This window comes from Homo sapiens, chromosome 3, assembly GCF_000001405.40.
Source record: "Homo sapiens chromosome 3, GRCh38.p14 Primary Assembly".
Classification (NCBI taxonomy): Eukaryota; Metazoa; Chordata; class Mammalia; order Primates; family Hominidae; genus Homo; species Homo sapiens.
Window position 1 is genome coordinate 3,073,838 of NC_000003.12, and position 16,242 is coordinate 3,090,079.

Below are 16,242 nucleotides of genomic sequence, written 5' to 3' on the forward strand. Positions count from 1 at the left end.
AAAACAAATTTTTAAAAAATCACTTTTGGAGGCCTTCCACAAATGGTCTCGTGGTTTACGATAAAGCTACAGTAATCAAGACAGTATTGTATTGGCATAAAGATAGACAAATAGATCGATAAAACCAATCAGATAGTCCAGAAATAGAACCAACTACATACAGCAACTAATTTCCTACAGAAATGCCAAGGCAATTCACTGGGGAAAGGATGATTTACTCCAACAAATGATGCTGGAACAATTGGAGAGCCATAACTAAGTGACCACTGGGCTGAACCTAAGCGCTCTGAATGGTGAACAGGCCTAAGAAAATGCATATTGGGTAAAATAATTTGCCTTTTCTATGGTCTTTTTTATACTAAAGAGCTAAAGTTCCCTCTGAAAATTCTCTATTAACTAAGATATTCATGTGGAAACATGGAGTCTTAAAACATTAGAGCTAAGCAGAACATTGTACAATCTCATCTGTGTCCCTTATTATACCAGAAAGAAATTCAGAACTCAGAGGGTTGAAGAGATTGTCCAAAGTCAGTTAAGGCATGGCTGATATGAAATTAAAATTTAAGTCTAACTGTCAAGAACACTTATAACTCAGTACCTTTCCAATATGTCAGAAGAGTAATGAACGTGCATAATAAAACAATCAGGCAAGCAGGCATGGTGGCATGCTTCTGCAGTCCCAGCTACTTGGGAGGCTGAGGTGGGAGGATCGCTTAGACCCAGGTGTTTGAGACCAGCCTGGACAACATAGCAAGACCCCATCTCTTAAAAAATACAAACAACTGAATCAGCCAAAGAACAGAATGACTGAAGCAACAGAAATGCTCCTGGCCTTCTGAGTAAAAACCCTGCCTTATAATATAGAAAACTAAGAACCGAATGACAGCTCCCAGGGGACTCAACCCTGGACACATACGGCATATCATAAGAACTTTCAACATTACCTCATAGTTAGTGGTTACAAAGAGATCTTTGATATTACTTTTTGGTGCTGGAATTGGTGGAAACAACTTGATCCATAAATGACATCTGAAAACAGAGTAAAGAAGGAATTAGGTGAGCATGAGTATACCTTTTGTCTCTAAATATCTACTCTAAAAATTGACCTGGTTGATTCTAGAACCTGCTGTTTTGTAAATTCAAAATCTTTACGTACCAAGACTTCCAAAATTATAGGTGAAGACTTTGTGGGTACCGCAAGCCTCTGCTGTGGCCCTGAGTCATCCAGGGAAGACCAAATGGAAACTGCTTTGTGTCAGTGGGTGTTACCAGGCCTAATATCTGAAAACGAACTGTATATTTCAAGTGGGTGGTGCTGATTGAAGCATTCCTTCCTCAATTATGTTTACTCACAGAGTTTACTTACTTTTTTTTTTTTTTTTTTTTTTTTGGTCTTGCTCTGTCACCCAGGCTGGAGTGCAGTGGCGCCATCGTGGCTTATTGCAATCTCCACCTCTCGGGCTCAAGCAATTCTCCTGCCTCAGCCTCCTGAGTAGCTGGGACTACAGGCACATGCCACTGCGCTCAGCTAATTTTTGTATTTTTTGTAGAGACAGGGTTTCACCATGTTGCCCAGGCTGGTCTCGAACTCTTGACCTCAAGTGATCCTCCAGCCTCAGCCTCCCAAAGTGCTGAGATTACAGGCATGAGTCACCATCCCCAGCCGAGTTTACTTTCTTTTCATCTCCTTTGTACTGCCTTCCCCCAAACTGTAGATGCCATCCGAATATAACGTTTATAATAGTAAAGCTGTTTAATAGAAAAGTCTTTTTTTTTTTTTTGAGACACAGTCTCACTCTGTCCCCCAGGCTGGAGTGCAATGGTACGATCTTGGCTCACTATAGCCTCCAACTCCCAGGTTCAAGTGATTCTACTGCCTCAGCCTTCCAAGTAGCTGGGAATACAGGCACGTACCACCACGCCCAGCTAATTTTTTGTATTTTTAGTAGAGACGGGGTTTCACCACATTAGCCAGGGTGGTCTCGATCTCCTGACCTCATGGTCCACCCGCTGTGGCCTCCCAAAGTGCTGGGATTACAGGAGTGAGCCCCCACACCCGGACCTTATAAAACTCATTTTCTAAATTATGAAAGGGCCAAGACAAAACATGTTTTTAAGCCTCCTAAAAGGTCTTGTGCCTTACTGAATGCTAAAATGGGTAAGGGATACTTATGGACCATTTGTGGACTCTAGGATAGGATACCAGATCCACATGCGATTTCTAGAATCCGTGTTTGACCTAATAACCATCAGCCACTCAGGGGCCTGGTGACTTGATAGCTGAGGATGATGACATGCAGGCATTGTGGTGATTTTAGCCTCCCTGAGCTGTGAAAAGCCTATACTGGCAGCTTACCCTAGACAGCCAAGGACCGAGTGGAAGACTGAGAAGGAATCAAAAGAAACCCGCAAGTAGAAACCTTCACAGAAATTAAAAGCTGTCGACAACTTCAGGTAGGAGTGAGTGATAGCTGAGGGCTGCATTGTGTGCTCTGTCCAACTTCTGTAAATCACCTCTGGACATTTCCACTTTTGATTTGGCCTACACTCATCTTGGACAGGTCATCTAGGCACAAAAATGCCACAAATTTTACCTGATAATAAGAACCCTCTGCCTACCGGATGCATGGTAAGCCTGTAAAAATGCAGTACTGAAACCCCACTGCAAGCACGCAAATGTAAAGAACACTTACATTTTACAGATAAGCGAGAGAATTAACAAGATGAAGCAGATGGTTGCCATAATCACAATGACAAACCACTCTCTCAAGGGCTTGTGTTCATCATTTCCTGGTGGAAAACAAAAAAGAAACAAAAAAATATAAAGTCCAAGTTAGAAGCAGCAGGTAAAAGAAATGATGAGGCTTGGGTCATCAGACAGCTCAGGTTTGAGTTGCCGGTGCTGGGTGGTGTTGGGCAAGTAGCTTAACTTCCCTGAGCCTAAGATTTCTCATCTGTAAAAGAAGGGTAACAGCCATCTCACAAAGTTGATATAGGGTGAGATGAAATGATGGCAGTGAGGCCACTTTTATTCTTAAAGAATGATTTATTCAATCAATCAGCAAATATTTATGGCATTCATTCCATGTACTGTGCCACTTGGATCTTGGAGCTTATCTGTTTTTGGTACGTAGTAAGGTTTTTAGATAGAAAATCCACAAAAAGATAAGCCTATTGAGTAACCCAATGGCATCACAATCAAAATACAAAGTTGGAAATTAAACTTTTGGAGGAAGTAAAGTATGAGATAATACTTGTAGTGAACAATAAAGGCATCAGACTCCAAGTGCTTTTCAATCTTAAATATCTTCAAAGCACCCCTTACCATTATTCCCATTTTACAGACATGAAAGGAATAAAACTGCCATTAAGTCAGTACAGAAAGTCAGTATTTTGTATGCCACTTATTCTCTGTTTAAATTTGCTTTGAATCTACATTTAAGGGACAGATTCTTCTAGGAACTTCTTTTTTTTATTATTATACTTTAAGTTTTAGGGTACATGTGCACAACGTGCAGGTTTGTTACATATGTATAAACGTGCCGTGTTGGTGTGCTGCACCCATTAACTCTTCTAGGAACTTCTATGATAGCTTTGGGGTGTGTAATTTTTCTTTTAAGTACTAGAAAGGCGTCCAAGACAAACTCAAGCCAAGTGCAGTGGCTCACGCCTGTAAATCCAAGCACTTTGGGAGGCTGAGGCAGGTGGGTCATTTGAGGCCAGGAGTTTGAAACCAGCCTGGCCACCATGGTGAAATCCCATCTCTACTAAAAATACAAATATTAGCCAGGCGTGGTGGCAGGCACCTGTAATCTCAGCTACTTGGGAGGCCGAGGCACAAAATCGCTTGAACACAGGCAGCAGGGGTTGCAGTGAGCCGAGATTGCACCACTGCACTCCAGTCTGGGGGACAGAATGAGACTCTGTCCCCCACCAGCCCCCCTGCAAAAAAAGAAAAGAAAAACTCAAGACCATTTACCAAATAGTGTTTAAAGAGGTTATGTGCTTGCTAACCTGCCGGATTGAATAATGTAAATCCTGTGTCATCTCCCTGAATATGAGTTTCCTTTCCGTGGGAGAGGCTGCTCATTCATTAATTCCTTTATTCATCCATTTAACTAATATTTACTGGGCTCCTATTATATGTTTGGAACTGTACAAATTACTGGGATTCAGTGGTCGAAAGATCACATATGGGTGCTCCTGTCATGGAGTCCATTAGGAAAGAATCACACTCAGCAAATAGCAACACAAGCAGTGATTTAATGACGAGCGTGCTAAATACTGTGGTGAGATTTCAACCACACCGCACCAGGAGAAAAGGTTACCATGCTCAGTTTGCCATGAACTGCTTCCTCTAGAAAAGAAGAAATACATAAGTGGAATTTTCAGGTCCTTGTTAATAGCCTAAGACTTCCAAAATAATTAAAACTCAAATCATTCAAGTGACAGGAAGGAGAGATACCTTGGGATATAATGCTAGTGATTCCAGCCTTGCCTTGTTCTCTTGCTTTTTTGCCTCCTGAGGACCCTTATCCAAGCTTTATCTTCTACCTCCCGAAAGTTTTAATCTCCTTCTTCATCTCTTCCCTTCTGCTTTCAAATATTCATAGAGTCCTTCATCTTGAATAAGCCATGACCCTGCTTTGCCATCTCTCTCCACTGTCATCAAATACCTTCTTACTTTATTTCCCAGTCTAAATTCTTGAATAAGGGCTAGGTGCGGTGGCTCACGCCTGTAATCCCAGCACTTTGGGAGGCTGAGGCGGGTGGATCACTTGAGGTCAGGAGTTCAAGATCAGCCTGGCCAACATGGCAAAACCCCATCTCTACTAAAAATATAAAAATTAGCAGGGCATGCTGGCTCATGCTTGTAGTCCCAGCTACTCAGGAGGCTGAGGCAGGACAATTGCTTGAACCTGGGAAGTGGAGGTTGTGGTGAGCTGAGATCCCGCCACTGCACTCCAGCCTGGGTGACAAGAGCGAGACTCCGTCTCAAAAAAAAAAAAAAAAAAATTATTTAAGGGATTCGGGCTGCTTCATTTCCCAGCTCTAACACTGCTTTTTTAATCACAGTGACTTCCTCCTAGTCTAATTCAAAAGACGCTTGGTTTCTTTTTCCAGCTTTATTTTTACTGACCTCCTTCCTGAATTTCAGACTGTGTATAGTTGAGCCCACCTTGAAACCGAGTCCTCAGCTTTATTGCCCATATCTCTTCTTAGATGGCCCTTCTCCCCATTTTAATTTCGATTGGCCCTCTCCACTCATCCTTTGACCCTTTGCTATTTTCCACTGTGGCCTATTCTTTGAACTTTGAAAAGTTTGTTTATACCACTTCATCTTTTAATTTTATGAAGTCTTTTCCCAGGTTTTTATTCCTGGTCCTGCCTGACACTCAGCTCCAGGCCTGGATCTTAAACTGTCCGTAGGTAAAACCTGCTCGGATGTTTCTCAAGGCTGACAACATTCAAAACCAAACGCATGTTCTTCTTCATATAAAAACCCCTTCTCTCACTAACTGCCCATTTCAGTCTCCATTCTTCCAAGCCCCCAGACCTGAAGCCTCGAAGTCACTTTGACTCTTTCCATCCTTTACAGCCGCTGTCCCTTCTCCTCATTCCCTTGGTTCATGTCGTCACTGCGTACCCAGTGATTAGTGCCGGACAGGCAGGCTTTGTCCAGTGCTTTCATCCCTGCCTATTCTGGAAACCTGGCTTGTAGTCTCAGCTTGCTGTGAAGGTGGTCATTCTGGGCCTCGGTTTCCTCATCTAAACACATGGCAGTTGAAATATATAATCCATAGATCCTTCCCCAGCCAGCACCTTTTCTAGCACCACTCACTCAGTTGAGGGTACTGTCACTTCATGTACACATACCTTTAATAAAATTGGTTTTAGAAAAGCAGTGCCTTTTTGGGCCGGGTGTGTTAGCTCATGCCTGTAATCCCAGCACTTTGGGAGGCCCACAGGCAGATCACTTGAGGTCAGGCGTTTGAGACCAGCCTGGCCAACATGGTGAAAGCCCATCTCTTCTAAAAATATAAAAATTATCCAGGTGTGGTGCCGCATGGCTGTCATCCCAGCTACTAGGGAGGCTGAGGCAGGAGGATCCCTTGAACCTAGGAGGCAGAGGCTGCAGTGAGCCCATCACGCAACTGCACTCCAGCCTGGGCTACACAGCAAGACACTGTCTCGAAAAAAAAGAAAAGAAAAGAAAACAAAAGTAGTGCCTTTTTGCTGCTGGAACTTTAAAAGTTTATAAAGTATAAAAAAGAAAAAAGAAAAATCAGTAGTCACTGGAAGTAACTAAGAGCTTATTTTCTATACATATTTTTGCATTCGCTTTTTCTGAGTGCTTCTAGGTGCTCAGATACTGTGTAAAGTGCTTCACGTACTTTCTCGATTTAATTCTTACAGCGATGCTTTGAGATGGACACTATTATTCTCACTGTACAGATGGAGGAACTGAGGCAGAAAAGGACAGAGTAAGTCAGCCCAGGCCACACAGCTAGGAAGTGCGGAAGCCCAACCAGTCCGTGCTCTTAGCCTTGATGTAGGAATCCCATTCCCCTCCCTCCCTCTGCAAAACTGAGGGCACACTGAATACATAGGAGCTTCGCTTCACTTATTTTAAGCATTGCTTTTCATTGAGAACTCTCCTGAGCATGATCCCTATAGCTCTCTGTGCTTCACTGTGGGAAGCCCTGTTCTATTGTTTGTATCCCCGTTTCTGATAAGGCTAAGTGTGCAGGCAGCTTCTCTAATTAAAGGTGGCTGCTTTGCAAACTACCGTTTCTCCTGACATTCCCCAAACTCTAGGTGGGACTGAAGCCCTTTATTAAAAACCTATGGCTATACTATTTATTTATTTATATGAGATAGAGTCTTGCTGTATCACCCAGGCTGGAGTGCAGTGGCATGATCATAGCTCCCTGCAGATTCTAACTCCTGGGTTCAAGCAATCCTCTCGCCTTAGCCTCCGAAGTAGCTGGGACCACAGGCACGCATCACCATGCCTAGCTAATTTTTAAAATCTTTTGTAGAGATGGGGCCTCAGTATGTTGCCCAGGCTGGTCTCAAACTCCTAAACTCAGGCAATTCTCCCACTTTGGCCTCCCAAAGTGCTGAGATTACAAGCGTGACCAACTGTGCCTAGCCCTATGGCTATAGTATTTTTTTTCAAGTTTTTTTTTGAAATATACTTATGTCTATTGTTTTACAAAAAGGCATTAGCCACATTTTGTTAAATAATGGAAAACAGACCCTCAAAGTGGCAAAGCTTTTGTCTTCCTAAATCCTACAGATCCTCGATGGTTCCAGGATTAATACTCCGTTCTCTGGATTGGAACTGAGGGCTCTGTTAGACTTCATTTTTATTGCATTCTTTCTTAGTTAATGTAAAGAGTAGCTGGGACAAACTAATAACAGCAAATCAAATACCGTCTTACTTTATTTCCCAGTCGATTTCCTGAGTAAGGAATTCAGCCTGCTTCATGGCCCCATCTCTGAAACTATTCCATGCTCGTAACCATTATGCAAGTATTCTGACAACCACATTCAGAAACTGCAGGTTTATAGACACCGGATGCAAATTCAGCAAGTGGTACATCAGCAGAAAAAAAGTTATCCTGTTTATAACTAGGTTAAACCAACAGAAAAAGTGTGGGTCCTGCAGAAAGAAGGGGCAGTGTTGTAAATAATTATCAGGGTCACACTGTCAGTCACATTTGGGTCTCAACTTGTGCAATATCCCCTAGCCTGATATGGCAAGTTTTGATAACAGTACCGTTTTCTTCTGACCATGATTACAAAAATCTTTTCAGTTAAACCACTCTCAAGTTATTCACTTCAGCCCTCACTTTGATAAGCGAAGATTCTCACTGAATTAGCAAAAATATAGAGGCAACCCTGATTTTATTTCATTAAATGAAAAAAAGTTATTGATGCATACAAGGTACTACGTGAGAAGCAAAGTCACGGTCACTGCCGGGAGGGAGGTGGCACATTAGTCATTTCTCCTGGCCTGGCCTCTCCAGTTGCCCCAAATGCATTAGGGCTACTCCCCTATAGCTAGTTGAAAACAGAACTAACCCCTGAAAACACAACCAAGGTCGGCTTTTCCTTGAAGAAAACATAAATTGGCAGGAAAATTTTGTGCAAGCAAAAGATTTCACATACCTATTGCGAAGTAGACATTACTTGTGGATTATCTACTGTTCAGTTACTTATTTATGCAAAAAAAAATGCCAGTACATTAGTGAATTAAAGTAAGCACCTGCTCTGGTTTTACTGAAAGTAGAGCAAGGAGGGAAGATCCCACTGAGAGTATACATTCTTTGGGTCAAAATGATTAAGAATTTCAATACTATAAAATTTGGGAGATCCCGTAGTATAGTCTTAATTTGAATTCTGGGGTCTCCAACCTTGGAGATTAAAAAAAAAGTATTTCGAGGTAATTTGACTCTCTGCTCTGACTCAAGGAGAATACCTTTCTTGCCATTAAAAAGGAAGTCACAGATGTTTCTTTTCAAGAAATCAATGGGCACTGCCATTTGGTTATGCAAAGATGGGTTTCAGAAAGAAGAAGTCACACAGCCTATTCTTGTAAGGAGGAGAAGCTCTCCAGACTCCCCATTTGATTCCTGGGTGCTTTTTAGGCATCACTAACGTAAAGCATTTGGGAAATTCAGTTGTCTGGTGTCTGGGGACCTCAGTTTCCATTATTTTTGACATCTTAAGCATTTGACCTTGCAAATAAGCCAATAGTCTGCTATTCTTCTATGACCCTAGAATGTATATGGAGTGGGACATGGGGTGCAGGTGGGCTGGGACAGTGGCAACACAGAGGGCAGAAGGACTGCAAGTATTGGACCCAAACTAGTCCCAGCTCTGCCTCTGGGAGCTTTGTCAAGCCACTTCCCTTTTAGGGCTGCAGTCTCTCTTGATCTAGAATTCTATGATGTATGAAGTTTAGACTACTAGCTCTTAGGAGATGAATTTGATTTGGAAGCCTGTTACACCTTAAATTCTGCATGTAAGTATGAACTTTCAGTGCTTACATATTGATTTTGAATCTGATTTCAGACTCAACAATAGGTTTCCAGGGAAAAGAGCTAATTAGTAAATTGATGGGATGCTTCCAACAGAGCAGGCCTGCTGTGTTTTTAGAGCCAGCAGGTGCTGGGAGAAGTTCAAATGGCACCAACAGGGTTGGATAATTGAGAGGATGTCAATATGGCAGTCTATGATACAGGGTTTAACTAGCTTCCTGTGACTTGCCTCCAGTTGGAGGGGAGAATGGCATCATTCATGAATGAACATCCCAAACCAGATCACAGGCTTCCAGTGCAGGCAAGTCAGGAGCAGACCTTTTGGGTGAGTGAGCTTTCAAGGCAGCTGTCAAATGGACTGTGGGAGGTACCTGGTTTAGAGAAATAAAAAGAGGGCAGCAAAATGCAGCCTCAGTGAACAAAATGTGTAGAGTAGTGAAGGACCCGGATCACACACACAGCTTGCACTATGTTCATCTGGTGGAACTGGGCTTGCATTAACCGAATAGAGAGAGGAAATGGAGACTGTGTATTTGTGTACGTGTGTGTATTTGTGTGCATGCGTGTATTTGTGTGTGCATTCAGGATCAGCTGGATGGCTCACTGCAGTACTGCTTGTCTGCAATATCCCCCAGTAGGACTAGACTTGATGAAGTTGAGTGGGGAATTCCTCATGGCAGTTTTCTTCTCTGCAGGCTTTCCCACAAAGCACCAAGGGCTATGTACCTTCTGGAGCCCCCCAAGCAACCCAGAACTTTCTTCCCTATAAGGGGTTGCTGGGCCTATTTTATCAACCTGCTAAAGCAGATGAAAGCTGGCTGCAGAGGATGTAGTCATCACATAGAAGTAAGCAACAAGGGATAAAGAGGGTTAGTCCTAGACCAAGTGTGGTGGCTCAGGCCTGCAATCCCAGCACTTTGGGAGGCCAAGGTGGGTGGATCACTTGAGGTCACGAGTTCAAGATCAGCCTGGCCAACATGGTGAAAATGCTGTCTCTACTAAAGATACAAAATTAGCCAGGCGGGGTGGCATGAGTAATTCCAGCTACTCCGGTGGCTGAGGCAGGAAAATTGCTTGAACCCCCATGGGAGGTGGAGGGTGCAGTGAGCTGAGATCATTGTGTGACTGCCCTCCAGCCTGGGTGAGAGAGTGAGACTCCATCTCATAAAAAAAAAAAAAAAAAAAGGTTTAGTCCTGGTTCTGCCACTTGCTACCAAAGTGACCTTCGGCAGGGTAGCCTCTCCAGCTTCTATGTCCTGCATTATAAAACAGGGATAAGGATCGAATGAATTAACACATGTGAAGTGCTTAGCACAGTGCTGGTACACAGGTGCTCAATAAATATTACTTACTATAATTACGATTAGGATGAAATGCATTGTGTCAACAAATTCATCAAGATAATTTCCCTTTCATCAAAGCAAGGCCAAAATTGGAGTGCTATCAGAATTCTAAAAATGCAGAGAGATAAACTCAGGCCAGGAGAAATAAACACACACCAAATATTCTAGATACTGAGGAACAGAAAAGGGTATGGGTATTCCTACCCTTCAAGGATTTAGGGTTCAAAATGTTCATTAAGATGAATCTTATGAAGAACTTGGACAGGAACATTTAGACAAGAATGGCCTGAAGAGGCTAACTTCATTCCCAATGGCTTGTCTGGATGGAGGCTGACAGGGTCAAGAGCTGGCAGAGCTTCCTGCTTGCACAGCCCCCAGCCCCTCTTGCTGAGTGTGGCCCATCCTCCAGCCTCAGTTTCCCTGGCTGGAGTAATAGCCCCCGGGGCAATGGAACATCTCGAAAAGAACCCAGGTGTGGAGCCAATCCTCTAGCTGTGTTCCAAACCCGGATGTCCCACCTACTATCTGTGTAGCTTCCAGCAGTTCCTTCACCTCTCTGCATCTGTTTTCTCACCTGTGTGATTAGGAAATCATGTGTGTGATGATAAAAGATGATGTAGATGAATATGTCCTGCACAGGGGCTGGCCCCCTGACAGCATCCCTCCCTCCCACAAGCTGCCATCCCTCCATGAGGCAGAATGTATGCCTAGAAGGGTGATGTAGGCACCAATAGAGGTGGCTGCGCCTGAAAGCACTGTGGGAACTCCCTGCTCCTGGCATTTGGAGATGAAATCTGAAAGGTCCCTGTTAGGCCTCCTTCAGGCTAGTGGGATGACCACAGGCGTGAGGCAGTCCGCCCCCCCTGGTGGGAACAAATGGTGGGGCTGCCAGGTGGGATCTAACCAGCCTGGACAAAAGGAAGCAGTGTGACCAAGCCATCTGTCTACACAGGGAAAGCAGAACCACAATAAGCTGTGTTAGTCTTAGGTAAGCCTAAGTGGGTCTTTCATGTTGTTATTGGGTCAACTCTTGTTACTTTTAAGCAATTTCTGCTACTGTGTAGACCCAGTGGCTCCCATCTGTAACCTCAAAAGAGTTTTGCAAGATTATTTTGGAAGGCCTAGGGATAGCTCATGTGGACCCTCCTACAACATTTCCCTTTCATCTTCCTTCGTGTTTTGCCACAGTGTGAGAATTTAACAAGAAAAAGCTGCTGAAGGAGAGTGACGGGATCAGGAGAGACAGAGAGAAGGGATTAGAGCTCCAGGTGGGAGTCAGAGTGCAAGGAATCAGGTTGGAGCTGCGGGACCTTGGCACAATGCAGGCAAACTGGAAAATGAAGATGCATTTGATGGTCCCAAAGGTGACTTCAGTTTTTGATTCCAGGTGCCCAGGACAAAGGTACCAAGTCACCTCACACATCAGCCCATGAATATCAAGTCAAAAGAAAAAGGCACAGGAGTTTCTCTGGGGTGGCCTTCCTTCCAGCCCATATTGCCATAGGCCACCCTGATACCCTACCTCAACCCATTTTCCTTAAGTCCTAACAGATTCTAGGATGTGTCACGGGACTCTGAGACCCCCACTCCACCAGCTCAAACTCCGACAGGAAAGCAAAGGCCAAGATTTCCTATGAACAACACATCTCTATGTTTAAGGAGCTGTCTGCTGTGCCCCTGTCTGCTGTGACCTCATGAATGAGTGATCTGAAAATTGCTGTGACCTCATGAATGAGTGATCTGAAAACGGTGCTGAGTCTTCTACTCCCCTGGGTGTAGGTGCCATACATCTCAAGACTAACGAAAGTCAAATTTGGGCCATCAAATTTTGCTTTCAGTGAGGTCAAAGCAAAACTCCATCGTTTCTTTGAAGGGCAATTGCAGTGATTGTAGTCTGTCACAGAAGAAGCAGTTCTCAGAACCACTGATCCTGACCAAAGACACGGCCAGAAATAAGTGCAGGGTAGACCCACATAAGTCTCTTTTCCTCAAGCAAGGATATGACTATGGAAAAATTTATTTTCATCATTCCTCGTTTCACACTTGGCATTTGAGCTTCATGGATGGCGGGAAGAAGAGAAGATGATGGACTTGAGAAAACACACAGCTTCATGAAGACCAGGGTCAGGAAACAAAAGGTTTCGATAAACAGGAGACAGCAAAGATAACAAAGGAACAGAAGAATCCGGAAGTTAAGAAAGTTTAAAAAGGAGAAAGACATGTAAAAATTGGGAAGTTAGCTCTTAAGATAAGACAGAGAAGCCAGCTGATCTAGGGCAGGTGATAACGAGTACTGATAAAATGAAACTGCTACTTCCATAAAAAAAAAAATCCCAGCCCAGCTATAGTCCCAGCTACTCAGGAGGCTAAGGCAGGAGGATTGCCTGAGCCCAGGAGTTCGAGACCAGCCTGGGCAACATAGTGAGACCCCTCATCTCTTAAAAAAAAATTCTGAATCAAATTGTAGGCCTCATTTAGTTTTTTGAGAAATCTTCCAAAGGAGAAGTCACTATATCAAAAAGACACCTAACGTGCATGTTTATCACAGCACCATTCACAATTGCAAAGATATGGAATCCACCTAAGTACCTATCAACCGATGAGTGGATAAAGAAAATGTGGTAAACATACACAATGAAATACTACTCAGCTGTACAAAAAGAATGCAATAATGTCTTTTGCAGCAACTTGGATGGAATTGGAGGCCATTACCCTAAGGAAAGTAATCAGGAACAAAAAACCAAATACCATATGTTCTCACTTATAAATGGGAGCTAAGCTTTGGGTACACAGAGGCATACAGAGTGGTATAATGAACATTGAAGACGCAGAAGGGGAGAGGGTGGGAGGAGCATGGGGGATGAAAAGTCACCTATTCAGTATGATGTAAACTATTTAGCTGATGGGTACAATAAAAGCCCAGACTTAACCACTATGCAATTCATCCATGTAACCAAAAACCACTTGTACCCCTAAAGCTGCTGAAATAAAACAATTGTTTTTAATTTAAAAAATTCCATGCTCTGGAAATTCTAGGACAGGAGAGCCAATCAGGCACTGTTCAGAGCAAGCAAAGAGCACTCACTTGCTAACTATACCCCCTCCCTGCTGTCCCCTGTGCTCCTTGGCTGGCCAGGGACCTTACCAACAGAGCTGGACAGCACCCCCAGCCTCTCCCAGCTCACCTTATCTCATCAATCAAAACTTACTCTGTGTCTCATTTTTTAAATTAAATAACCTTGGGCTATAATGGGTTAATTAGTTAATCAAATCTATTCTAATTCACTGATTGGCTCATATGTCATCTATTTGAGAAAATTGTATATTAATAGCCACTTCTTGGCTGTTTGACAACTGCTGAGTCATTTAGTATCTCAGGACCTCCATTTTCTTACATTAAAATAATGGGGGGGAAATTAATAACTATGAAAGGGTTGATATTTGAGTTGAGTCTTGGAGTAAAATGGAGTGGGAGGGCTACAGCATGCTGTTTTTAAGATAAGGCAAAAGAGGAGAAAGCATAGTTAAAGGAAATGAATGTAGCAGCAAAATCGCCTGATGGACTCCTAGCTGAGTATAATTATTGCTGCATCCTCAAGGGATAAAAAAGAGCCATGCAAAATGTCCCAGAGGGGCTTGGACTTCCTATTACGTTTATTAATCATCTTGATGAAAATGGAAAGTCTACATTGATTAAATTCACTAATGATCCTAAACTGAGCAGAGGAGTAAATTCCAGAAAGGATGGATTTATAAGGTGAGTAGTAATATTAATCAGCTCATCTTCATGAAAAGGATGGCAGTAAATGAAATGGGATTTGCTATAGATAATGGCAACGAGGTACACCTGGGGGAAAACTATAATGAGCCCAGATTCAAACTAGGAAGGTGTTATTTAGGAAATAATAATGGTAAGAGAGCTCTAAAGTGGAGAGTGAATAATAAATTAAAAACAAGCTTAAAATAAGCGCTCGTTATGGATCACAATTTCACTCTCAGCACTTTTGCAGTGGGGTGGTGCAGAGGAGGTGAATGTGAATGGCAGAGGTGGAAGCAGGTTTGTAGTGCAGCACTTATATTTTACAGGTGAGGATGCTAAGCCCAGAGAGGTTAGGTGTAGACTGACTAGGCCAGGGTGGAAAAACCCTGTCATGCTCGTCACCACTCTGTCCCTTGCAGTGGTGGCAGGAGATCACGATTCCTTCTGACAATCTAAATTTAGCCTCAGAATCCTCAATGCTGCACTCTAAGCAGTCTCTGATTACTTTGCTCACAAAACATTACCTTTTGTCATCTCTAGCTTATAACATAGAGCTAGATGTTGGCAGAGCCGTAGCTAAAAACCTAGATGTCCTGAATATCTAGTGCTTCTTTTTCACCTAATACGTTCTAAATTCTCTACAGTCAACATTGACTATGACTTCAAAAGTCAAAGACTCAGAAAGCATAACTAACTTCTTATCTAGGATTCTGACCTTGGTATCCATCATCTTGGTTTAAGTTTCCTTAGACAGCATTTTAAAATCTCCAAAATTGAATACATATAGAGAGAGGTGTTGGGAAGACACTTAGAAATAGCAATAGTTTTGAGCCAGTGAGTTTTGTGCCCCTGGGGAGTAACATAAAGCATTTTTAAAAAGAAGTCTATTGAATTCAAGTAACAAAAATTAAACTTCCACCTTAGGCATTTGACAAAATTAATGACCTTGTTAAAAATTCCCTGAGACTGATTAATGCTTCTCGTATTTGTTTCCCTCCTGGGGAACAGAGTGAATTTTCCTGGTGCAAATGGAGCCATGTCGAGGAAAGTCCTGTGTGTGCTGGGTCAGTTTAGTTAGGTGGGGGCATCAACCTAGGGAGGAGGGGAGGGAGGGGAAGATTGGTCTCAACAGAATTATGAAGCAGGTGAGTTTAGCCCATTCTCACTTCCTTTTAGTGTCCTTTCAGTTCCCTCTCCCCAGGAAGGCTCATGCTGCTCCTGTAAGTCTCTCTGAGTGATGTGAGGGCTACCCCTGTAAGGCTGAGCTGGTTGTGTGTTGCACAACTTTAGGGGACGCTATTCTCCCTTGGGAACTCGGTAACTTAGCACGACCAGCCCCCTGGCAGATTCAGAACAGTTCTCCATTTATTAGGCCTTTCCTTATCTTTCCCAGTCTTCAGTGGAAATCTACCTGCTGTGTGTCAGATCGGAGTCATTTTCACATGGGCTGATGGGTCACTGCCCGAGACTTTCCTGAAGACCTACCCCATAGCTTAAGCGAATGAATTAAATAGTAGAACATTTTGGCATGTGCCTGAACTAAATCTCTCCTATGTATACTCTTCCAATGGTTGATGAATACCTCATAGGATTCATGAGAGATGGCATCCACATGCTTGATCACCCATAATCACAAAGGTTGGCTACCAAGATGTCTTTTTTTTTTTTTGAGATGTCGCCCAGGCTGGAGTACAGTGGCGCAATCTTGGCTCACTGCAACCTCTGCCTCCTGGGTTCAAGTGATTCTCCTGCCTCCCGAGTAGCTGGGACTACAGGCGCGCACCACCACGCCCAGCTAATTTTTTGTATTTTTAGTAGAGACAAGTTTCACCATGTTAGCCAGGATGGTGTCGATCTCCTGATCTGCCCACCTCGGCCTCCCAAAGTGCTGGGATTACTGGTGTGAGCCACCGCACCCATCCCCAAGATCTCTTAAATAAGACTTTAATCTACCCAGCACTTTAAAGCTTGCAGAATCCTGTCCCACCATGCCAGAGTGTCCAGAGATCAAGTGCTAGAGTCAGTTAATCTGGGGTTAGAGCCCCATCCCTGCCACTTGTTGGCCATGCAGAACAGAGTTAAGCCAATT

The 16,242-nt window shown here is 43.3% G+C and overlaps 1 protein-coding gene across 5 annotated transcripts in view, besides 2 other annotated features; it reads right to left on the minus strand.

Moving 5' to 3' along the window:
- Nucleotides 1-16,242, minus strand: part of IL5RA (interleukin 5 receptor subunit alpha) — a 44,051-nt gene that overhangs the window by 7,514 nt on the left and 20,295 nt on the right. For 4 of the 5 annotated variants that reach the window (NM_175726.4, XM_011533677.2, NM_000564.5 and 1 more), the window contains 2 exons: nucleotides 2,694-2,790; nucleotides 945-1,029 (listed from right to left, as the gene is read on the minus strand). In NM_175726.4, coding sequence (NP_783853.1) covers nucleotides 945-1,029; nucleotides 2,694-2,790 — 182 coding nt within the window. The remainder of the gene's footprint in view (nucleotides 1-944; nucleotides 1,030-2,693; nucleotides 2,791-16,242) is intronic. The other variant, NM_001243099.2, reaches the window with a different exon arrangement.
- Nucleotides 8,276-8,365: an enhancer, noted in NCBI's record as "active region_19342". NCBI's record gives its function as "activates an Ori minimal core promoter by ATAC-STARR-seq in GM12878 lymphoblastoid cells {active_cell/tissue: GM12878}" and the evidence as "EXISTENCE:reporter gene assay evidence [ECO:0000049][PMID:35858748]".
- Nucleotides 15,245-15,414: a silencer, noted in NCBI's record as "silent region_14007". NCBI's record gives its function as "represses an Ori minimal core promoter by ATAC-STARR-seq in GM12878 lymphoblastoid cells {active_cell/tissue: GM12878}" and the evidence as "EXISTENCE:reporter gene assay evidence [ECO:0000049][PMID:35858748]".